The 21,504-nt window shown below is 51.7% G+C and overlaps 3 protein-coding genes across 9 annotated transcripts in view, besides 5 other annotated features; 1 reads left to right on the forward strand and 2 right to left on the reverse strand.

Annotated features, from left to right (window-relative positions):
* HECTD3 (HECT domain E3 ubiquitin protein ligase 3) lies at window positions 553–9,329 on the reverse strand. 2 transcript variants are annotated; one of them, NM_024602.6, is made up of 21 exons: window positions 8,894–9,329; window positions 8,551–8,711; window positions 8,206–8,298; window positions 7,991–8,126; window positions 7,573–7,688; window positions 7,374–7,487; window positions 7,149–7,231; window positions 6,541–6,706; window positions 6,245–6,326; window positions 5,418–5,600; window positions 5,224–5,276; window positions 4,956–5,020; window positions 4,697–4,800; window positions 4,002–4,121; window positions 3,799–3,888; window positions 2,605–2,811; window positions 2,253–2,382; window positions 2,065–2,139; window positions 1,860–1,941; window positions 1,674–1,745; window positions 553–1,581 (listed from the first exon to the last, which is right to left on the reverse strand). In NM_024602.6, the coding sequence occupies exons 1-21, from the start codon at window positions 9,260–9,262 to the stop codon at window positions 1,497–1,499; spliced, it is 2,586 nt and encodes an 861-aa protein (NP_078878.3). In that variant the 5' UTR covers window positions 9,263–9,329; the 3' UTR covers window positions 553–1,496. The 2 variants fall into 2 exon arrangements, with proteins under 2 accessions (NP_078878.3, XP_047286443.1); XM_047430487.1 differs by lacking the exons at window positions 7,991–8,126; window positions 8,894–9,329.
* Window positions 8,996–9,165: a silencer, noted in NCBI's record as "silent region_824". NCBI's record gives its function as "represses an Ori minimal core promoter by ATAC-STARR-seq in GM12878 lymphoblastoid cells {active_cell/tissue: GM12878}" and the evidence as "EXISTENCE:reporter gene assay evidence [ECO:0000049][PMID:35858748]".
* Window positions 9,246–9,375: a silencer, noted in NCBI's record as "silent region_825". NCBI's record gives its function as "represses an Ori minimal core promoter by ATAC-STARR-seq in GM12878 lymphoblastoid cells {active_cell/tissue: GM12878}" and the evidence as "EXISTENCE:reporter gene assay evidence [ECO:0000049][PMID:35858748]".
* Window positions 10,136–10,185: an enhancer, noted in NCBI's record as "active region_958". NCBI's record gives its function as "activates an Ori minimal core promoter by ATAC-STARR-seq in GM12878 lymphoblastoid cells {active_cell/tissue: GM12878}" and the evidence as "EXISTENCE:reporter gene assay evidence [ECO:0000049][PMID:35858748]".
* Window positions 10,226–10,355: an enhancer, noted in NCBI's record as "active region_959". NCBI's record gives its function as "activates an Ori minimal core promoter by ATAC-STARR-seq in GM12878 lymphoblastoid cells {active_cell/tissue: GM12878}" and the evidence as "EXISTENCE:reporter gene assay evidence [ECO:0000049][PMID:35858748]".
* On the forward strand, window positions 10,259–13,580 carry UROD (uroporphyrinogen decarboxylase). 5 transcript variants are annotated; one of them, NR_158184.1, is made up of 10 exons: window positions 10,259–10,290; window positions 10,862–11,024; window positions 11,141–11,220; window positions 11,297–11,359; window positions 11,580–11,796; window positions 11,914–12,075; window positions 12,444–12,581; window positions 12,741–12,841; window positions 12,945–13,011; window positions 13,342–13,580. NR_158184.1 is itself a non-coding variant. In NM_000374.5 (10 exons), the coding sequence occupies exons 1-10, from the start codon at window positions 10,271–10,273 to the stop codon at window positions 13,501–13,503; spliced, it is 1,104 nt and encodes a 367-aa protein (NP_000365.3). In that variant the 5' UTR covers window positions 10,259–10,270; the 3' UTR covers window positions 13,504–13,580. The 5 variants fall into 5 exon arrangements, 2 of the variants coding, with proteins under 2 accessions (NP_000365.3, XP_047285914.1); NR_036510.2 differs by having other exon boundaries at window positions 11,599–11,796; NR_158185.1 differs by having other exon boundaries at window positions 10,912–11,024.
* Window positions 11,766–12,302: an enhancer, noted in NCBI's record as "H3K4me1 hESC enhancer chr1:45479433-45479969 (GRCh37/hg19 assembly coordinates)". NCBI's record gives its function as "activates a minimal SCP1, AML or CMV promoter by ChIP-STARR-seq in naive H9 embryonic stem cells {active_cell/tissue: H9 hESC(naive)}" and the evidence as "EXISTENCE:reporter gene assay evidence [ECO:0000049][PMID:30033119]".
* The window catches only part of ZSWIM5 (zinc finger SWIM-type containing 5), a 190,207-nt gene continuing 183,106 nt past the window's right edge, over window positions 14,404–21,504 (reverse strand). For both annotated transcript variants that reach the window (XM_047426192.1, NM_020883.2), the window contains 3 exons: window positions 18,630–18,793; window positions 18,071–18,152; window positions 14,404–17,321 (listed from right to left, as the gene is read on the reverse strand). In XM_047426192.1, coding sequence (XP_047282148.1) covers window positions 16,459–17,321; window positions 18,071–18,152; window positions 18,630–18,793 — 1,109 coding nt within the window. In that variant the 3' untranslated portion in view covers window positions 14,404–16,458. The remainder of the gene's footprint in view (window positions 17,322–18,070; window positions 18,153–18,629; window positions 18,794–21,504) is intronic.

Below are 21,504 nucleotides of genomic sequence, written 5' to 3' on the forward strand. Positions count from 1 at the left end.
ATACTTGTGGTCCCAGCTACTCAGGAGGCTGAGGTGGGAAGATCACTGGAGCCCAGGAGGCCCAGGCTGGAGTAAGCCGTGACTGCACCACTACACGCCAGCCTAAGCAACAGAGACCCAAACAAACAAACAAACAAACAAACACCCAAAAAGGACTGCAACGGGTTGGGGGCAGGGTAATAAAGACACTACTTCCTCCACTTCTGTCAACAACCCTGACCTGGCTGGTTTGTCAGCCCTCCCGTCTCTGTCTTCTATGATGTCAAATTCTTCTGCCCACTTGGCTCCAGAAGTGGACTCCCATCCTCCAAATCACCATATCCATGCCAGAAAATGCCAGGCCAGCCTGTTTGCTTGTTTTCCCTTTTCTGCGCAGTGGGGCCCTTACGTCTCTGCTCAGCCCCAGATATGTAACTGTGCAAAGTCTGTCACTGAGAAACCTCTACTTGCATTTCACATCCATCTTCTTGGCTCCGAGTAGGACACTAAAGTCAATTTCTCCTTGTGACCCTGTGCCTAAGCCCAGGGCCCAATAAACACATTCTGAAGGAATGAATTCATCCATTTATTCAACTTTCCGGTATGCAAGAACTTCTTTTCATGGAGTGTCACGGAGGCCCTGAGGGAGGAACGGTAAACTGGGGCAGGGGTGTGCATAGCTCTAGGAACAGGTTTAAGGTCTAGGCTTTAGAGTTGGGGAAAGGGGAGCTATTACAGATTTCAAAAAGGCCATAACTGGCCTTAACCTGTGCAAAATCTTGGGGGTGAAAGGGCAGACAGGGAGTCAGGCTGGAGGTGATGGAGAAGTGAGGAATATGGGGAGGTCGTGGTAGTAGAGTTCACATTGAGTGGATGTGGGTTCTGAGTCAGGGAAGGTGGTGGCACTTTGTGTGTTGAGACTGGGTTGGTAGAAGAACAGAGCTCACCACATCTCTGGTATGGAGGGAGAGGGGAAAAGAGCAGAATGTGAGGGCAGGTGCTCAGCTACTGCTTCCTTCTTGGAGCAGGTGACCAAGGAGTTTGGCTATCACTCCCTGCCCATCCCAGGCTCCCTGCTTGGGGAGGGGCCTCCACTAACCTCCAGTGTTTTATGTTTTTAGTTGTGAGTCATGGCTGAAGAAAGCCAGAGAGAAAATAGGAGAAAAAAGGCGGAGCTGAAAATGGAGGCAAAGTCCATGGGTTGGGGACCTAGATGGCCCCCTTCAAGTAGCTCAGGCCTGGCAGCTTGTGCTGGGCTTGTGGAAGATTCCCTCTTAAGAGGTGAAATACCTCGGGAAGCAAGCCCCAGCACGGGTAGGGCTTGTGGGTCTGCGGGGCTGGGCCACTAGTGTTACCTGACCATGCCAGCTGCCCCTACCCCAACTGCACACAGGAGCAGGGCACATGGGGTTTTGCTGAGCACGTCAGCCAAACCAGGGCAGGGAAGGTGTCTTCGCCCTGGGCAAGGCCAAGAGGGACACGTGCAGTCTTGCTGGTCCCACAGCCGGCGGCACGCCTCACTCCTCCCAAGGGCTCATGTCAGTGTCGATGGCCACGCAGTTGTAGGCCGCATAGCGGAGCTTCTCCTCGCATACCTTGGCACTGTGGGAATGGGGACTTGGTCAGGTCCCTACATCGCTACCAGGGGTGATGGGGTCCCCTGGGCCCCAAATCGAGCCTAGGAAAAAACCCACCTGGCATAGTGTGGCAGGAAGAGGGTGCTGGAGCAAGTGGAAGACTCGGGCAGCGCGTCTGTGGTCTCGTAGCTGGGGGCATTGAGGGACCATAGGTCAGGAAGATGTGTTGGGGCACATGTACGTGTGTGGGGAGGGAGGACAGAAGGCGGCCATGGCACCTTCAGGCCTCCCTCCAGCACTCACCCCAGCTTGTCTGGGTAGATGTAGATCCGTGCTGGCAGGCGACTGCGGCCCGTGACAAAGCGCAGGAAGCGGCTCCGGTCCTCTGGAGGGAGAAGGAAATCAGTGCCTGCATGGATGGTGAGGGAGGGTCTACAACTTCTACCCTGCCTCTGCAACTCAGCAGCAGAGTCCAAACCCAGGTGTCACCCTGCCCTCCTCCACTGACCGTTGGTGAAGTTGTTCAGTGCCTCCCAGAAATACTGCACCCGCGAGTCAGATGGCTCGAAGTCCTCAAACCGGGCTGGTGGAGACAAGGCCAGCATTCATTCTTGGGTCTCATCTTGCCCAGTCCTTGAGCCCCAACCCCTGTGCTGTGCTGTGCTGCCCTGCCCTGCCCTGCCTTGGGGAACTCACTGAGCTTGCGCAGAGCATCCACAGTGACCTCTGGATCCCCACACACTTTCTTCTCCAACTCTTGCCAGGTCAGCAAGTCCAGCACAGCCTGTGGTACCACCTTCAGCAGACCTGCCTGCATAGCTGCCACCTGGGGAGTGGGTAAAAAGGCTTGGCTGGGGAAGAGGGCACACCTCCCGCCTCACACTGGGGGGCATCACTGTGGCCTTTTAGCAGCAGAAAGGTGGCACTGAGGAATGGTGGGGGCCAGAGTTCTTGGAGTACTGGTGGCTTACAGGCTGTGTTCTGGGTCCCAGGAGCTGGGGCTCAGGAGGGGCCAAAGCTCTCTGCTCTACTAGCCTCTGGGTACTACCTGCTCCTTGCTCTCCTCTAGCCGTGCCTTCTGGACCAGTTGGATGAAACGAGAACGGTCCCCATATCCCACGACGATGCCTGCACCCCCAGGGATCAGCTCCACCACCTGTTGGTCACTCAGTACAGTGGTGAATGTTAGTTCCTTCCCAAACTTGAACTCAAACGTCTCCTTGTCCATTCCTTCCATCACTTCCAGGAGCTTCACCTAGGGGTTGGAGAGAGGCAGGGAGGTAACCTTTTCACTGTGGAGATAGTCCCTGTCTTTCCACAAGATGCTCACAGGGAAGCAGAGACAGCCAGGCAAGGCAGTCCCCATGGAGGCAGCAGGGAATGAGGGTGTCAGTACAAGAGCTGTAAAAGCATCAAGACAACACCTAACCAGCCTTGGAGGCCAGAGGAGGCATCCTGTGGAAAATGGTGTCTCAGCTGAGACCCAAATGATGGCTGGGACATAAGGGAAGTTAGGAGAGAGAACATCTTGGAGAAAGCTGGAAAGAGCAAAAGGCCTAAGGAAACTGTGTGGCTGGAGCCTGAATGTGAACCAAGTGGCTGGAGACACAGGGTTCACGTAAGGCCTTTACAGATTCTGCATTCTATCCTAAGCCCAGGGCCGAGCCATCAATGAGTTTAAATAAGGAGAGTGAAATGAATTACTGTGGCTGCATGGAGACCAAACGGGTAAGAACGGAGACAGGGACACCAGCTTTTTAGTAAGTGATTAGCTAAGGAGGAAAGGTGTCCTCAACCAGGCAGGGAGACAGTAGTGAGACAGGAAAAGCAAACAGATTACAGAGGAAGACTTAAGAATATGGTGGCGAGGGAGAAGAAGGGGTGAAGGATGGCCCTGTGGGCTTTGGGATGGGGAGGAGTGGGACATGGTGCCCTTCTGAGGCAGGAGCCCTAGAGGGGAGTAGTCTTCGGAGAAGATAAAGAACACACTGAGCCTGAGATGCCATCTTGGGGCAAACGTCGAGGGTACAGATACATATATGGCCCCAGGCTTAGGAGAGGCTGGGGCTAGAGGTCAGGATTTTAGGGGTCACGAGTCTACAGACAGTAGTTGAAGCCATGGGAGTGGATGGATTGGAGAGGGATCTTGTGTGTGGTGAAAGAACAAGGTACAGAACAGCCTTAGGGAGGACCAACCTTTAGGGGCTGGGCAGAGGAAACACTGGTTCCAGGTCCTACTCACCAGCACAGAGTCCACAGCTGGGAAGTCCTTGCTCCAGCTCACCTCCTCACCAGAAAGCTGCTTCCACACAAAACCAGGCAGGGCCAGGACCTGTGTGACAAACACTCCCCACTGTCTTCTCACCCTGAGCTGCCCAGGTTTGGCTGGCCTTTCCTTCCAAGGGCCAGGGCTGATCGGACGGGGGTGTGGATAAGGCTACTCACCAGGAACTCCTTACCCCGAAGGGCAGCCCCCATCAGCTGTCCGATCCATTCATACTTGGCAAAGTCTCGGCAGGAGGGGTTGGGTACATACATGTCCCGAGCCTCACCAGTGCCATTGCCCTGCCCCAGAGACAGAGCTGTGAGTGTGGCATGAGATACACCCTATTTTCCTGGCCCAAAGACTTCCCTGAACATTTTCCACTGGGAACATTTTCCACTAAATGATCCCTTCAAATGCACAGTGGCTCCTCCTCTCCCTGTCTGCCCAGAGGTTGCCCTGAGCAACTCAGTCCCTCCTCTGCCCTATTTCTATTTTTTTTTTTTTTTGAGACAGAGTCTCACTGTGTCACCCAGGCTGGAGTGCAGTGGCGTGATCTCGGCTCACTGCAACCTCCGTCTCCTGGGTTCAAGCGAGTCGCCTGCTTCAGCCTCCCATGTAGCTGGGACTACAGGCGCGTGCCACCACGCCCGGCTAATTTTTTATTTTTATAGAGATGGGGCTTCACTTCATTGGCCAGGCTGGTCTTGAACTCCTGACCTCGTGATCTGCCCGCCTCGGCTTCCCAAAGTGCTGGGATTACAGGCGTGAGCCACTGTGCCTGCCCCCTTTCTAGCTCAATCTGGCCCCCTCCTCTGCCCCCTTTCTAGCTCAATCTGGCACCTGGGAGGTTTGCAGAGATGGAAACGGAGATTACCTGGTTGGCTGTGCGTACAAAGAAGGGCAGGGGCACGGGGGTATCCGCTGAGCTAGGGCACAGCTCTTCTGACATATCTGCCAGGCTGTCCCGGAAACCACCCCCTGAAATGACAGATGCCCTCAGCTGGGCACTCAAGAGCCCAGCTCCCATAATGGGGTAATGAATAGGTCCCCCATCATCATTAGCTGGTGAAAAGCCTCTACCACTTTGATAGGGCAGCAAGCAGGACCCTTGAGATCCTCCCTCAGGGCCTCACCTTGGTCAATGATGCCTTCTGCAATAAATTTACACTCCCACCACTGGTCATAGCGCATGGGCCACCTGCAAAAAACGTGGGCAGATTTGTCATTATGTGGGGCCAGGTGCAGCACAATTCATCAGCTCAGAGACCACCTGGGAAAAGCAGTCATGGCGAGGGGTGCCTCGAGCAGTTGTGTGTGTGTGTGTGTGTGTGTGTGTGTGTTTGTGTGTGTTTGTGTGCACAAACAGGTGTCCCGAGTAAGTCCCTCACTCTCATGCCATACCTGTAGTCCAGGGGCTTTTCATATTTGTCAGAGGGCTTGAGGCCTTCATATACCTGGAGGCAAGGAGGAAAGGAGTCATAGGAAAGCAAGACCTGGCCCTATACTTGCCCCAAGAACTTGTTCAGGTCCCTCTTGGCCTAGCCCCCTTGGCCCTTGACTGATCCTATCTCAGTCGGACCCTAGGTGGTGCAGACCTGGGTGAAGACTGCATTCTTGCAGGCAGGGTCTCGAGAGGGGCAGGCACGGTGTTCCATGGCAAGACGGCGGTTGATGTATAGGCGTGGCATGAAGCTGGGCTTGCTGCTCTCAGAGTCACGCAGGCACTGAGCCACCAGGCCTGGCCGCTGGCGGGACAGCAGTAGGAACTGCTTCACTTGCTAGTGAGGAGAGGTGGCCAGAGCAGGAATGAGTGGGCAGTCAGCCTCCGTCCAGGCCCTGGAACTTTCCCCTCTGCCTGTATCCAATTCCACCGTTTCAGTTCAAGTCTAGTCCATCCCTGTCTTTGTCTCCAGTCCCCTCCTTAGTTCAGCCACCAGGGAGAGCTTTCTAAAACAAAAAAATCTAATACTGTCATTACCTTCCTTACCTTTCCAACAGCTCCACTACCCTGGGACAAAGTCCTTGCTTCACAGCCTGGCCCACAGGGCCCTCTGCAACCAGGACCTGTCTCCTGCCCACATCCTTCCACCCTCATCCCTCTGTCATACTCACACCTACTGGCACACTTTTCTCAAGACATCTTGAGCTGCTGGTAACTCCCTGTATGTACCTTTCACGCAAACTGCCCTGCCTGTGCTGTCAATAGCCCTTGGGTATTCCACACACTCTGGAATACCAAGGAGGCTGGGGAACAGCCTCCCAAACACTAAATTTGGACCATTTGTTCTGGCTTTCTTCCTATGTTCCCAGACCCAGCAAAGGTCTTGCCCTAGAGTAGATTTTAGGAACTCTGCTAAGGAATGAACAACTACGTGAGCAGGAAGGGGAAATGCCAAGACCAGCACTGGCTGGGTCGGCTCACCTTAATCTCACTGAAGGTGCCCAGTGTGTGGTCCCAGGCAGGTACCAGGTGGTGCAGGACACTATCGAGGATCTTGATGAATCTGGCATGGGTAGATAGACTGCAGCTAAAGAGTTTAGCATACCTGTAACACCCCCAACTCCCCAACATAAAGGGACAGGAAAAGGCAGGACCTGGGGGCTTCTCTGACCCTTGAACAGCTTATACTATGAGACCTTGGGAACCTCCTCCATGCAGACACACAAGGCTCAATGTTGGGGGAAGGGAAGGGCCCATAGGTCCAGGACCACAGCCACCTCTGCAGGAGGACAGCTCTGCGGTACAGTACTTCAGGGTCGGTGCCTTCTAGGCGTGGATATCGCACCAGACTAGTTGGCTGGAACAGGTCTGCATTCAACCCTAGTTCCCGCTGTCTAGATGACTTGATCTTGACCCCTCGGAGACGAACATCAATCCCATCATCTGGGGGAAGGGGTCAGAGTAAGGTCATTTACAGCACCTGCTGCCTCCTTGGCCCTCAGACCTGGGACCGGCTCCTTGAACGCTCAGCCTTGTGTCACCGTTAGCCCCTAGAAACTCGGGACCTTCGGGATCACCTTCTATCACCTGATTCTGATTGATCTATTCCTGCTGATTCCTCTGTCTTCCACTAGAATGCTGGGATGCCTGAGGGTCCCAACTCAGTTCCTCTTCCAGGTGAGCCCAACCACCTGTATGGCTTTAAGGCAGGCCTATACCTGGCATGTCCCAGCTGGCTCAGGCCCCAAAGCTCCAAATCCTGGAGTTAGTTCAGCATCGCCTTCACCCCAACTCCAAGCCCATCCTCTTCTCTCCACACACACTCTCTGTTTGCCCCCATCTCCACGCCGGGCTCTCTTTCCCTCCTTATAGCCTTAAACCTCACCTCGGCACTCCACGATGCGGATCTCGATGATCGGGAGGTGGACGGTCATGTCCTCCAGGACACAGACATCCCCGATGAGGGTCCTGAGGAGATGAGTGTGAAGCACTTCAGATACCTCCTGCCTCAGGCCTTCAGAGACTGCTGGAGTCTCACTCAAACTTAGGCTTTCAAGCTGGGCTAGGCTTGGAACATGCCCTACTTCCCTCCCCAGGCCAGCGTGCTCACTCGTCAATGCTCACGTCACTCAGCTTCTTCAGGTTGTCCCCTTCACCCCCATAGACCACCACCCGCTTTGGCATAAAGTTGTCATCTGTGGTATCCACTGTGAGTAGCAGCTTCCTGAAGGGTCAGAGTGTGAATATGAGTCTTTGTGAACCCACAGGGACATAGCCCACCCACCCTGTCCTGCCCAGAGCCTACTTACTTGACAATGGTGCCCTTCTTCATAGTAAGCCGTACCCAGTGTTGGCACTGGGACCCATCGCTCTCCCAGTAGGTATCGGCATTGCTGTCTGTCAGGCAGGACACGTTGAACTCCTCCTGGGGAGGGGCAGAGACGTGAAGTCAGCAGTTACCCTCCCTCCCTGCACTGGGCTTGTGCTCTGGGCCAGGAGCACCAGAGAGAAAGCATAGTGAAGTTGGGCTAACAGGCAACTGGTATGGGATAGGGGGCCGCTGGGTATGTAAGGGGTCCTATAGACGTCCAAGATGGGGAGCTGAACTGAGTGTGGCCTGTGGGGACCCTGTTTTAGTCCTGGCCTGCAGGTGGGGGTTCTTTCTGGATCTAGCCTTGAGGGGTGTGACTATATCTTGCCTGGGGTGGGAGGAGCCCCAGCACCCACCGTGTAGGAGGAAACGTCTATGCTCTCCACATACTGCTTCACGCTACCCAGGTTCTCATCCTCCTTGCCCAGGTGGTCATACAAGAAGTGGATCAGGTCCTCGTCGCACTCGTAGGTCCATGTCGGGGGTACATAGCTAAGCAACCCCAAGCCCCTAATTAGACTGGGCCCAGACGCAGAGCTCCTTCCTCCCCACCCCATTCCAGCTCACTCACAGTAGCCTTTGTACAGCTTCTGCGTATGCCTCTGCCGGCTGAGGTCTCGATCCCAGGCGATGTGAGTATGTCAGGTCCACCACCTGTTCCCACCTGTGGGCACAGAGTAGGGAGTGGGATGGGGAGACATCAGCGGTCAGCAAGACACTACCTCCATGCCGTGTAGCCTTCTTCAGGGCTCTATCTCCCAGTCTCCCTCCGAGCCCCCTTCACGTCCCGCCCCTTTCTGCTCTTAACCCTGCCTCCGCTCCAGTATCCCACCCACCCCAGGCTGTGGCTGAAGTGTTCCCAAGCCCTCCTGGCCCGGCCTTCTGACAGCCAGCCCCGCTCCTTCAAGTGCAGTACCTGAGCACCGGCCGATAATCCACGCCAAAGAGCTGCTGCTGCCGCTGGAGGTGGTTGGGAGTGTCGATGGGTACCAGGCGGGCTCCGCCCTCCGCCGGGCGGCACACCAGCAGCCAGCCTTCCTGCAGCCCGCAGTCGCCCAGGTGCTCTGCCAGCTGCTCCTGCCGGGACGCGTAGGATGGGGACAGCCGTCAGGGAACTGCCCAGCCGCCTGTCGTGCCCAGCCCAGGGCAAAGGGCGCCGAACGCAATGCCAACTCAATACAGGGGAGAAAAGGCAAACAGCCAGAGGTTTCTCTGGCCCCAGGGGTCTTTTACCGGGTCCTGGGCAGGGAAGAGCGCACCTTTGTCAGCTTCACCCAGAGCCCGTGGCCATTGCACAGCTCCTCGCCCGTGGTGCGCACGCAGGCGCCGCGCCGGAGCTCAATGCTGTCGCGGGCGGCGCGGAGGGGCCCGGAGCCGGTACCGGGGGCTGGGCCTGCGGCGCCCACACGCAGCCCCAGGCCCTCTGCCTCCCACACCGGCAGAAGCACGCGCGACGGTCCCGCTGGGTCCTTGTAAAGCTTGTAGAGCACCTCTCGCGGCACGAAAGCCAGCGCTGCTGGCAGCGGCCGCCCGGCGCGGAGGCTCCGCGCTGCCTCTGCCAAGAAGCGCACGCGGCCCAGCAGCTGCCGGGGGGACTCCAGCACCGCGCCCGGGCCAGGACCCGCCATGGCGAAGTGGCGGAGGTGAGCACCTAGAGGCGACCCTGCCCGGGGAACAGCTGGCGCGACCGCGGACAGAGCTTCCCACCACGCCCTTCCCCGCCTTTGGCCAGCCTTTGCCGTATGTTCTGGACTAAGCGCACCCCAGCTCTCACTGTATTGGACTGTGTACTCCCACACTCAACCATATTACTTATCTCTGTGCCACCCTAACCCAGCCGACCAAACCCAAGATTGGTGATTGCTACCTGATCAATCTCCCTCTCTCCATTTCCTTGTGACTACCATTTTATCTCTACTGCTACTACCCTCATTCAAGTCACCATTCTAGCTAGCCTGGGTCATTGCCAACAGTCATTTTTCTGGTTCTTCGGCCTGCTGTTTTTCCTCCCACTCCCAGCGAATCTGCTGGACTCCCTATCCTATGGGTGGTGTGATTAAAGTGTTTGAGACAATGGCCCCTTCCCCTGCCACTGACAGGAGTCTTGAGTCATTAGGGTTGATTCTGTTTGTCACTCCTAATCCCAAGGACACTGGAGATCATTATTCATTTTAATGTGATTGCTGATTTCTGTTTCCCCAGTCTTGTAGCTCCTTAAAGGCTGGGGCTGTCTTGAGCAGAGCTAACCTCTGCACCTACTATAGGTCCAGGCTATAGTATGGACCTGGCTGGATAAGACTGTTGGTATCATGAGTGGGACTTGCGCCAAGCCTCCGGATACCCAGACTGTCAGATGAGAACAAATTCCTCATGTCACCGTAAGATACATTTACAGCGGAGTTTTCTTTTGGGCCTTTGTTGTTGCGTCGCTACAGCAAACTTTACGGTGAAAAAAGGTAGGGGTCCTACGGGCAGCAGCCAGGGCAGCCCTGGAGCTGTCGCTGGAGTCCGATCATGTGATCTTCAACATGGCGACGCTCTTGGTTCCCTACAGAAAGGGGCGGAGCCTGGACTGGGGGGCAGGCTCAGATTCAGGTTAAATTGTGGATTGAGCTCGCAGTTACAGACAGCTGACCATGGAAGCGAATGGGTTGGGGTGAGTTCTCCAGAGCACGCGGTGTGGCTAGCCGGGCTTCTAATTTGAGTCTTCCAACTCAGGACTCTATCCCTCTACTCCCCTTTCCCCACCCTGGAGACCTCCCAACCTGAACTCCGTTAGCTGGGATCCTGAATCCTAAAACCATGGATTTTTGAGATGTTCATCCCAGGGCCTTAATTCAAGGGATGCCTCAGGATTTCCAACCAGGATCTCTATTCTGGGACCATCAACTCTGATCCCTCTTTATCCCCCAGCCTGGGTATTTCTCAGCCCCTGAACCAGCCCAGTGACATTCCCGTTTCTGAGGCTCACTAGTTCGAAGACCCCCAAACTATCCTTAGTGGGCCTTCATTCCCTCCCCCCAGTCCCTCTGGTTGCTTCGAGCTTGGAAGAGTAGAGACTAAGTGGAGGGAAGAGGCCCCAGGGCGGGCCCTTCTGGAGTTTGTGCACCACCTGATAGGCAGAGAGGAGGCGGAACGGGCGGAAAGCCAGGGTTTGGGAGCTGGCCTGGAGGAGGTAGATAGCGGTCCTGGACTGAATCGGCCTTATGAACCCGCGCTTTCCCCAGCCTCCAGCGTAGCATACTGACACCTACCCCCACCCCCACCTGATCGCCAGACCTCAGGGTTTTCCGGAGCTGAAGAATGACACATTCCTGCGAGCAGCCTGGGGAGAGGAAACAGACTACACTCCCGTTTGGTGCATGCGCCAGGCAGGCCGTTACTTACCAGGTAAGAGTCAGGGTCTGGAAATCTAGATAAAACTCCGGAGGGAGAAAAGTTTTCGAGGGGCAGGGGAGGGCTCTGGAGGGCCTCAAGGCTGAGCCCTGTCTTCCCTCTGTATGCAGAGTTTAGGGAAACCCGGGCTGCCCAGGACTTTTTCAGCACGTGTCGCTCTCCTGAGGCCTGCTGTGAACTGACTCTGCAGGTGAGGGGTCCACAAAAGAGGGAAAGATTTATGCCTTCAGTCTGCCACCTAGCAACCTGTCTCCTGTTTCCTACAGCCACTGCGTCGCTTCCCTCTGGATGCTGCCATCATTTTCTCCGACATCCTTGTTGTACCCCAGGTACCCACTCAAACCTGATCCTAGAATATAATCCAAGGACGCCTTGAAAATCCTTCTATCAGTCCAGTCAAGGTTTACAATAAGCACTTATCCTAACTGGATCGAGGGAAAAACTAAGGTTGAAAGAAATGGAGTTTGGCAGAGTTTTATTCTCCTTTTCCTTCCTCCTGGAATGAGCTGAACAGAACCTTTCCTCCTGGATTCCATTTTGGGAACCCAGATGTTTTCTCCCCCTCCAGGCACTGGGCATGGAGGTGACCATGGTACCTGGCAAAGGACCCAGCTTCCCAGAGCCATTAAGAGAAGAGCAGGACCTAGAACGCCTACGGGATCCAGAAGTGGTAGCCTCTGAGCTAGGCTATGTGTTCCAAGCCATCACCCTTACCCGACAACGACTGGCTGGACGTGTGCCGCTGATTGGCTTTGCTGGTGCCCCAGTAATGTGGGACAGGGCAGGGACTCGGGGCGCGGGGAGATCACTCTGGAAGGTCTGGGGTAGACAAAAGGAAGGGTCAGTCTGGCTTCTGTGACACCATCTTTCTATCCTTCTCTAGTGGACCCTGATGACATACATGGTTGAGGGTGGTGGCTCAAGCACCATGGCTCAGGCCAAGCGCTGGCTCTATCAGAGACCTCAGGCTAGTCACCAGCTGCTTCGCATCCTCACTGATGCTCTGGTCCCATATCTGGTAGGACAAGTGGTGGCTGGTGCCCAGGTGAGTCCTGAGAGAGAGAGAAATAGGCTGGGATTTGGTCTGTAAGGACCAGAAGCAAGAGTGTCCTAAACCTGAGAGGGCAGGGGTCTTAATGCCAGGGATGAAAGAACCTTGGCCTCCAGTGATCTAGCGGAGCAGCCAAGCCCATCCTGACACTGACAGTGGGGCTTAATGCTCTAAGTATTCAGACACCAAAGTTAGTGCTGGGATCTGAGGAAAGTAAATTTTTTTTTTTTTAATTACTGGGTTTTTAGGGTCAGGCAGTATCAGGGATTGAAGTCATTTGGGGAAAATTGAGGTGGATTTTGTATGTGGGGGAAACTTCCTCTTTGTGTGTTACATATTTTTCTTCACCATACCCTAACTAGGCATTGCAGCTGTTTGAGTCCCATGCAGGGCATCTTGGCCCACAGCTCTTCAACAAGTTTGCACTGCCTTACATCCGTGATGTGGCCAAGCAAGTGAAGGCCAGGTTGCGGGAGGCAGGCCTGGCACCAGTGCCCATGGTGAGGATTGGGATGGGTTGAGTGAAGGTGGTCCTGTGGAGCTTTCAGGCTAAGTCCTGCATGGACTGGAGTGACCACTGGAGGGCAGCAGAAGTACAGTCAAGAAAGATTAGTGGTTGTAGCAAGGCCCTCTGTAGCCTGAGATCTGCTTTTTTCTAGATCATCTTTGCTAAGGATGGGCATTTTGCCCTGGAGGAGCTGGCCCAAGCTGGCTATGAGGTGGTTGGGCTTGACTGGACAGTGGCCCCAAAGAAAGCCCGGTAAGCCATGGAAGGGTGAGGCCTTGAGGTTGAGGTGGGGGTGTTGGCTGGGGGAGCTGCCATGTATGCAGTTACCAGAACGTGGCGCTGGCTTTGCTTCCAGGGAGTGTGTGGGGAAGACGGTGACATTGCAGGGCAACCTGGACCCCTGTGCCTTGTATGCATCTGAGGTAACAGCCAGGGCCCCTCTGTGTGTCTGTTACTGTGCACTCCTGTGGCTGTGGCTGTATTATTCTGTGTGCACTTGTTTTTAATGTCTGTCTGTCCTTTTCTTCTACTCTGTACAACATAAGCCCTAGAAAGACCGGACTTTTTGTTGCTGTTGTTCATTTGTGTTTATGCTTCATGCCTGGGTCCATACTAGGGATCTGATAAATTTTATTGAATGACTGAATAACACTGAGTAGAAGCATGCCTACATATGCGTTTGTCACTAGTATATATAGGGAGGACAAAGGCTTGCTGGTCCTCCTGTAGCCAGTGCCCTGTTGGTCCCCCAGGAGGAGATCGGGCAGTTGGTGAAGCAGATGCTGGATGACTTTGGACCACATCGCTACATTGCCAACCTGGGCCATGGGCTTTATCCTGACATGGACCCAGAACATGTGGGCGCCTTTGTGGATGCTGTGCATAAACACTCACGTCTGCTTCGACAGAACTGAGTGTATACCTTTACCCTCAAGTACCACTAACACAGATGATTGATCGTTTCCAGGACAATAAAAGTTTCGGAGTTGAACTATTGTGTAGTTTTGTTTGTGAAAGATTGTGCCCATATCCTCAGTTCTTCTTAGCCTCTGCTCCTTCCCTGGGAACCCTCTCTATATCCTCTTCACAAGTCATGGGGGTTAGGTATCAGTGAATATGTACTATAGCACTTAAGGATTCTCATTCCCATCTTACTCTCAGATACCTAAGTCCCAGAACTACATGGGGTAGGGTAGAGCTTTCCTAGCAGTTCAGGTTGTGACATTTGCAGAAAAACGGGTGGGGTCCTCACAACATACAAAGGCCAAATTGATAGGGCTTTATGTCTGGGGAGAAAGGGAAGTATACATCAAAAAGGGGCACAGAAGGGGTTAGAACACTTCAGAGAGGCATGGGGAAGAAGATGGAGTCTAGGCAAGCAGGGAGAAGCTGAGGGACCCTCAGCTTTGACACCAAAATATATAGAGGACATGAAAGCTCAGAGCTAGGTTGCTTAGGATTGGAGCTTTAGACAAGTCGATCATCACCAAAGCAAGAAGTCCTCTGAAACCAAAAGACCCTCTGGCAACTCAAGGTTGCTTTATATTCTTTTCTGAGCATCCCCTTTAATTTTCTCAAGATCTTGGTTATTCCACCCTTCCTGGTGGTACCTGCTTCCCAGGACAAGGCTCTGAGGTGTCTGTAAGCCCTGGGGAAGGGTCTGGTATGGCAAGAAATTCTTTATCTGTCAGTCATTCTGCATCTCCTTAGACCACTAGGCACCCACTGTGCTGTAGGCTGAACCAGCTCCCTGGCCCAGCCAGGGCAATGCAGAAAGGAGAGATGGGTTTCATTTAGTGAGAGAACACAATTTCTGCTTTTAGAAAAATGATCTTTTATGTGATCCATGATTTATTCATAGAAAAGCACTGTGAATTCACACACTTGCTAAAAAAGGGCAACTGTGATACAGAAATGAGAGTGGCTTCTCTCTTTTTTTTAACCAACCCATTGGGCTGAGACGTAGGGGCCCTTGGCTGGACAGTAAGACTTGAGTAGCCACAAATGGCAAATACAACTTCTTGGTCAGTTTGGAGTAAAAAAGGTGACAGTTTGTCGAAGAAAGAAAAAGTAAAGCAGATGGAGAAGTTCTTAGTTCACATTCTAGCTATACCACCCCTTCCCTATCAAACCCCACCCCCAACTCAGGAACTAAGACATGAAACAGTAAACACCAAGACACTGGTTCCAACTGACTTTTCTGAGTGCCCTTGCTACCTCCTATAACAATTCCAGGCTGAGCACAGGGGTCAGGAAGGTAGCAGGAACATGATACACTATGGAGGTCAGCCAGGGCTAAGACAGGACTGCCCACTAGGGCTAGAAATTAGGAAGGGAGAGGCTAAGTGCAGACCAGCCCTAGCCTCCAAGTCAGCGAGCAATGAGACTGTGACAAAAGCCGGCGAGGAAGCTTGAGGTAGAAAGGCAGGGGAAGAAAGCAAGTATGAGGCGAGAAGAGAACTATGGAGCTAAAGCAGCCAATCTGATGGCAGAGGGAGATTGGTGCTTAGAAGCTTGTTTGGTGAGAGAATGAATAGAGGAGGCACAGAGATGGGGAACAAACGTTTAGCTGGCGAGAGAGATTTAAGAGGAATGGGAAAGAGAAATCTGGCAAAAAGGACACATTGATGCAGATCCTCAAACATGAATACACAGACATCCCTACATGTAGAAATACGCTCAGTTACACATATAAAGACACAGATGCATGGATAACAAGCATACACATGGATACAAACATGTTTATACACATGCACTCGTGTACGCAGATACACATACTAAACATGCACAAACATGAGTGCATTTGCACAAAGATGTGCATCCTCACATGTACACAAAATGTGTATATCCTCACGTAGAAACTCACAGTCCAGTGTGCACATATTCAAACAGGTACACAGCCATAGAACTGACACATACACATAAATATATATGTGCACAAACAGGCATGCACAGATGTATCTATGTACATACACACATGTACTTAGCCATAAAGATACACACACACAATTATAGATGAAACCACACACTTGCTAACACAAAGGTGACCACAGTAGATGAATATTATGAACTCAGCGGCTTCCCAGACCTTCATCTTCTCCCTGCACTTGTTTCTCAGGTGTTCAGCAGGCTCCTGAAGAGGCTGTGTGAGGCAGGAGCTTCAATGTCCTCACAGTTTTGTGAGGCAAAAGTCTAAGTCCAGTCCTGGCCTCTGTCCCTCACTCACCACTGGACTATAAATGCCCTGTCTGTAGGTGGGGGATTCTGCATAGACTAGACTTGGGTTGATCCTAACTGGCCATTTTTCTCCTTGGCACCCCCACTCTTCCACTGCTACCAGCAAACACTCTGCAAGGGAAACCTGAGAAATGGTTGTGAGTCTCCTCAGAAAATAAGCATATCCTCCTACCCACAGCTACTTCAAGTGCCCATCAAATCAGAAGCAGAATTATAAATAGTTACAAGTTTACAATAATTAGCAACACATATAGTATTTACAGTCCCACAAATGTGTCTGTTTCTCTGGTTAAGCAATCCCTGAGATGGAACAGTGTTCTGTGTTTGCCAAGGGAGACAGGGCCAATGCTCAGGACACGCAGGATATAGGGGCATGAGGTGGCATGTTGTGGGGTTTCTGGTCGATCTGCAGGGCCCAGCTCCTCCATGAACAGTAGGCTGTAGTCAGAAGCTTGCCAAGGTAGGCATTATCGACTAGAGCTGGACTTTCCCCATCCTTAGCCCTGTGGTCCTTTGGCCTCATCCACAGGTGCTCAGAGTTCTCTCAGGGTGGACAAATGTTTCAGTGCCCTTGGCCTGACCTGATACTACCTGGGAACCCAGGCTGCTCTGGCAGTGAGCTATCTGCTCTCTCAGCCAAAGCGCTCTCGCACCAGCAGCATCAACTTTTTCTTGCCTTTGTAGATCTGTTTGAGGTTGTCGATGAACTGGGCAAACTGCAGGTGGCCATCCTGGGGCAGCAGGAAGGTCTCCCGAGCCTTGCTTAGAAACTCAATGAACTCTCCATAGTGGCGAGGGCTGATGTGTGTTAGGCGTGAGTGTGTAGTGTTGATATAGGCATTGATGGTGGCATCCAGCAACTGGCGCAATGGAGCTTTGTCAGTGGACATGAGCTTTCCAGAGCTTCGGCGGCCTGGGATGCCGGCCAGGCCAGGTGCAGTCACTGTGCAGCGTCGTAAGATGTCTGAAAGCACTGTGGCACAGTGCACACTCTTCACCACCAGGGGGATGAGAGCTGCCAGCTCATTCTTGCCCAGAGAGTGGCTGAGAGCACAAGCCCAGAGCACATCATTGATGGCTGGGTGAGTATCCTGGTTGTAGGCCAGGTTAAGATGGCTCATGGCCAATGAGGCCAGCTTGAAGGCACGTAGCGGGTAGCCACGGAGCTCCATGTAGCGGGCGATGGTGAACAGCTGTGAATGGGTCATACCACCAGCAGCAGCATCAATGGCAATCTGGTAGGCTGCCTCAAAGGCAATGTGGTCTTTCTCACAGAGTGTAAGGGCTGACAGGGCACAGCTCTGTGGATCCTTCATAGCACACTGTAGAGCCAGTGTGCGAGCACAGCTAGCCAGTTCCTCCCGCTGTGGATAGTCAAGACTGAGGCGCAGGATAGTGGTGTGGGATACGGCTGTGGCAGCTACAATACTAGTAGCCTCAGTAGGGGTGAAGAGTGTGTACCAGCTCTGCAAGATGCTCACCAGGGCCCGCACACCTGTCAGGGGGAGCCTGAGCTCAGCCGTGGCCATCTGGGTCCTGATTCAGGTCTACCCAGATTACCATTTGGGGTTTGAACTTGGCCTGCAGAGATGAATTCTTCCTCCTCAGCAACCTTGAGATGATATGAGGCAAACCAGGGCAAGGGGAGCATCCCAGATGGCCAGACCCTGTTTGGGGTCTCTTCCTATCCCTTCTTTCCCCAGGTCAGAGAGTTGAAGGTTTCTGCAGGTGCTCTTAGCCCCTCACAAGGATGGGACAGTAGAGCCTGGGGTTTGCTTGCCCTGAGGCATGGGTTACAGATCTGCCAGGGGTTCTAGCTGAAGTGGGGCCTCTCAGGGTAGAGTCTTGTGCTGGGGCTTTGGGCTTTAGAAAGGGTCCTGAGCCTCTAAGTTGTCTGGAGTTTTTTACAAGCATGCACAGGGATGGGGACCAAACCACTGGGCCCACTACCTCCCAAGGGAGCACTTGAGTAGCAACTGAAAATTCATTCTCTTAGACATGTCTCTGTTGAGAGGATCAAGGGCTGCTGACATCAGGATATGGTTCAAGCAGTGAAGACAGGGCTTGGGCTGGCTGAACAGAGGCCACCTTCTCCTACCAGCAGCCCCATCCTTTCTTAGGCCATCTCCTGATGGACCTAAGATCTCATAGGAATATGAGAGCTCTAAGGATTGATTGTCCTGTCCCAAGAGTAGGGCCTAGAAACTCCTTTCCCCTGGGGGTAGAGGGAGGTGGGAGACTCACCCACTTCTGTAGCACAGGTCACCAACCATCGTACCATCTCCCTGCGTCTCCAGTTAAGGGTTGATAAGGTCATCCGCATCACCTGGGCACAAAAGAGGCCTTTCCAGTGGGCTATGCCTAACTGTTGTGACCTCTCCCTCCCCTTGCATTCATTTATGCGACAAATATTTTCTGGTGCTTTAAACAGTGGTCTCTCCGCTGATAAACATAAAATACAGTTAATTTCTTTCCCAGCCCTCCCACCAATCAGATAGGAAGCTTCTCTGATGATCTGCAGCAAAGTCCTTATTATCATACCTTGCTTGACTTGTAGAAATGGGGAGGTAGAGAGAAGATAGGGACCCCAGGGAGCCTAAAGCTTTATCTTGCTTCTGGCCTTAACTTAAAAGTGGAGCCCAATTTATGAAATCCTTGCCTTTTCCCTAGCCTAGAACTTGTGTTCTGGGCCCAAAGGAAGAGCCAGACTTGGCCTATGCCCAGTCTCCCAGAGATCTTATCTTCTGCCAACTGTCACTAGGTCAGCGGTCTAAACTGTGGATGGCCTACTCTTCCTCCATACCTGTAACCCAAGTTCCAGGGCAACGTTGAGCAGGGTGCTGTCAGTACTACTGTCGGTGGGAGTAGCAATCTTGAATGCATCTTGGGCCAGTTTGAAGATGAGGGAGGAAGAATGAATGTGCTTCTGTATTGCTTCCAGAATTGTTCGGAGTCTCAAAGTGTCTCCTATAGGTGTCAAGAGAAGGGGCAGGGTCTATTTTAAAGTTTTACTAAACAGTCAGCTGACTGCAATAGATACTCATTGAAATGGCTGCTATCAATTCATTGAATGCTTCTGAATGCTACCGCCCCTTCTGGGTTATCGAGCTGTCTCCACTAATCACATTTGAGGCTCCTTCCTTCCCCAGACCCCCATGTGAATCCTATTCTCTCCACCTTTTCATCTGTCTCTACCTAATACCCTCTACCCTCAGGATCCTTTTTTTTTTTGGAGACGGAGTCTTGCTCTGTTGCCCAGGCAGGAGTGCAGTGGCTTGATCTCGGCTCACTGCAAGCTCTGCCTCCCGGGTTCACACCATTCTCCTGCCTCAGCCTCCTGAGTAGCTGGGACTACGGGCGCCCGCCACCACGCCCGGTTAATTTTTTGTATTTTTAGTAGAGATGGGGTTTCACCGTGTTAGCCAGGATGGTCTCGATCTCTGACCCTATGATCTACTGCGCCGGGCAACCCTCAGGATCTTTAGGTACCAGAAATAATTTTCTTGAACACCTTAATTTCCAGAGCTACTTATACAGTAGACAGAAAGTCACATTACTGCCAAAAAAGAACGGCAGTCCCACTGTCTGCTTCTCACTACAGCACCCTGGGGCAAAAAGGAGCGGGGCCACCACTTCTTATTCAATAGGCAGGGATTCTATACAAAAAACAAAGAGTTAAGGAATATAACATCATATGAGGTGAAGGTTGCTGGATGAAGGCAGTAGTGTATGAAAGACTGTTATATCTTATAAAGGACAAATACATTAAGTAAAGATAAAACAAAAAGTAGGCCTTATGTTTTGCTTTGTAACTGCTGATAAAGTCAAAGAGAAGGAATGGTATGACTACAGGCTTTGGAATAAAACACATTGGGGACCGAACCTGGTTCAGCCATTTAAGAGTTTAACAACTTCAGGTTGGGCGCAGTGGCTCTCGCCTGTAATCCCAGCACTTTGGGAGGCTGAGGTGGGTGAATCACTTGAGGTCAGGAGTTCGAGACCAGCCTGGCCAACATGGTGAAACCCCGTCTCTACTAAAAAAATACAAAAATTAGCCAGGCATGGTGGCGTGAGCCTGTAGTCCCAGCTACTAAGGAGGCTGAGGCAGGAGAAGAGCTTGAACCTGGGAGGCGGAGGTTGCAGTGAGCCAAGATTGGGCCACTGCACTCCAGCCTGGGTGACACAGTGAGACTCCGTCTCAAAAAAAAAAAAATAAATAAGAGTTCAATAACTTCATCTATAAAATGGAAACAATTGTTGTGAGAATTATAAAAAATTTGTAATATTCTATGATTCTACTTTATTTTATTTTATTTTATTTTTTTTTGAGACGGAGTCTCGTGCTGTTGCCCAGGCTGGAGTGCAGTGGCGCGATCTTGGCTCACTGCAAGCTCCGCCTCCCAGGTTCATGCCATTCTCCTGCCTCAGCCTCCCGCGTAGCTGAGACTACAGGCGCCCACCACCACGCCCGGCTAATTTTTTGCATTTTTAGTAGAGATGGGGTTTCACCGTGTTAGCCAGGATGGTCTCGATCTCCTGACCTCATGATCCACCCGCCTTGGTCTCCCAAAGTGCTGGGATTACAGGTGTGAGCCACCGCACCTGACCTCTATGATTCTATTTTTATAAAAAAAGATACATAGTGTGTGTGCATATATATGAATAGAAAATCTCCAGGAATATTTATGCCAATGTCTTATTAATAGTTGTTTTTGGGTGCCAGGATTATGCAAGAGATTCCCTTTATTCTTCTATCATCTTTAAAAACAGTTTTTTAAGTTAATAGACTGTGTCTTTAGAGTAGTTTCAGGTTTACAGGAAATTGATCAGATAGTACAGAGAGTTCCCATATATCCCCTATTATTAACATCTTATACTAATGTGGTATATTTGGTAAACCAATATTAATACAGAAATCCCTCAGCACCTGTGGGGGATTGGTTCCATGACTTCCCTTGGATACCAAAATCTGAGGATGCTCAAGTCTTTCATAACCTACCATCATACCCTCCCATATACTTTAAATCACCTCTAGATTACTTATAATATCTAATACAATGCCTATACATCATTACACGTGGATTCAACATAGTGGCTTGTGCCCAGCAAATTGAAGTTTTGCTTTTTGGAACACTGAGGAGTTTTTTTTCCTGAATATTTTTGATCCATGGTTGGTTGAATCCACAGATGCAGAACCCACAGATACAGAGGGCTGATTGTACATAATTATTAGTGTGGTACATTTGATGAACCAATATGCATATATTATTAACTCAAGTCTACAGTTTACATTAGGGTTCACTCTGTGTTATACAGTTGTATGGGTTTTGACAAATGTATGCTATTAATCCACTATCACAGTGTCATATAAAATAGTTTCACCTCTCTAAAAATCTCCTGTGTTCTATCTGTTCATCTCTTTCTCCATTCCCTCTAAGTCCCTGGCAACTATTGATCTTTTTACTGTCTTCATAGTTTTGCCTTTTCCAGCATATCATATACTTGGAATCATATAGTAAGTAGCCTTTTCAGACTGGCTTTTTTCTTTCTTCTTCTTTTTTTTAACTTAAAGACTAGTGTGATAATACAGATTGGCTTCTTACAACATGCAATACGCATTTAAGTTTCCTCCATATCTTTTTTTTTTTCCCCTCAGAGTTTACACCCAAAACTTCCAT

This window comes from Homo sapiens, chromosome 1 (assembly GCF_000001405.40).
Source record: "Homo sapiens chromosome 1, GRCh38.p14 Primary Assembly".
NCBI classification, from domain to species: domain Eukaryota; kingdom Metazoa; phylum Chordata; class Mammalia; order Primates; family Hominidae; genus Homo; species Homo sapiens.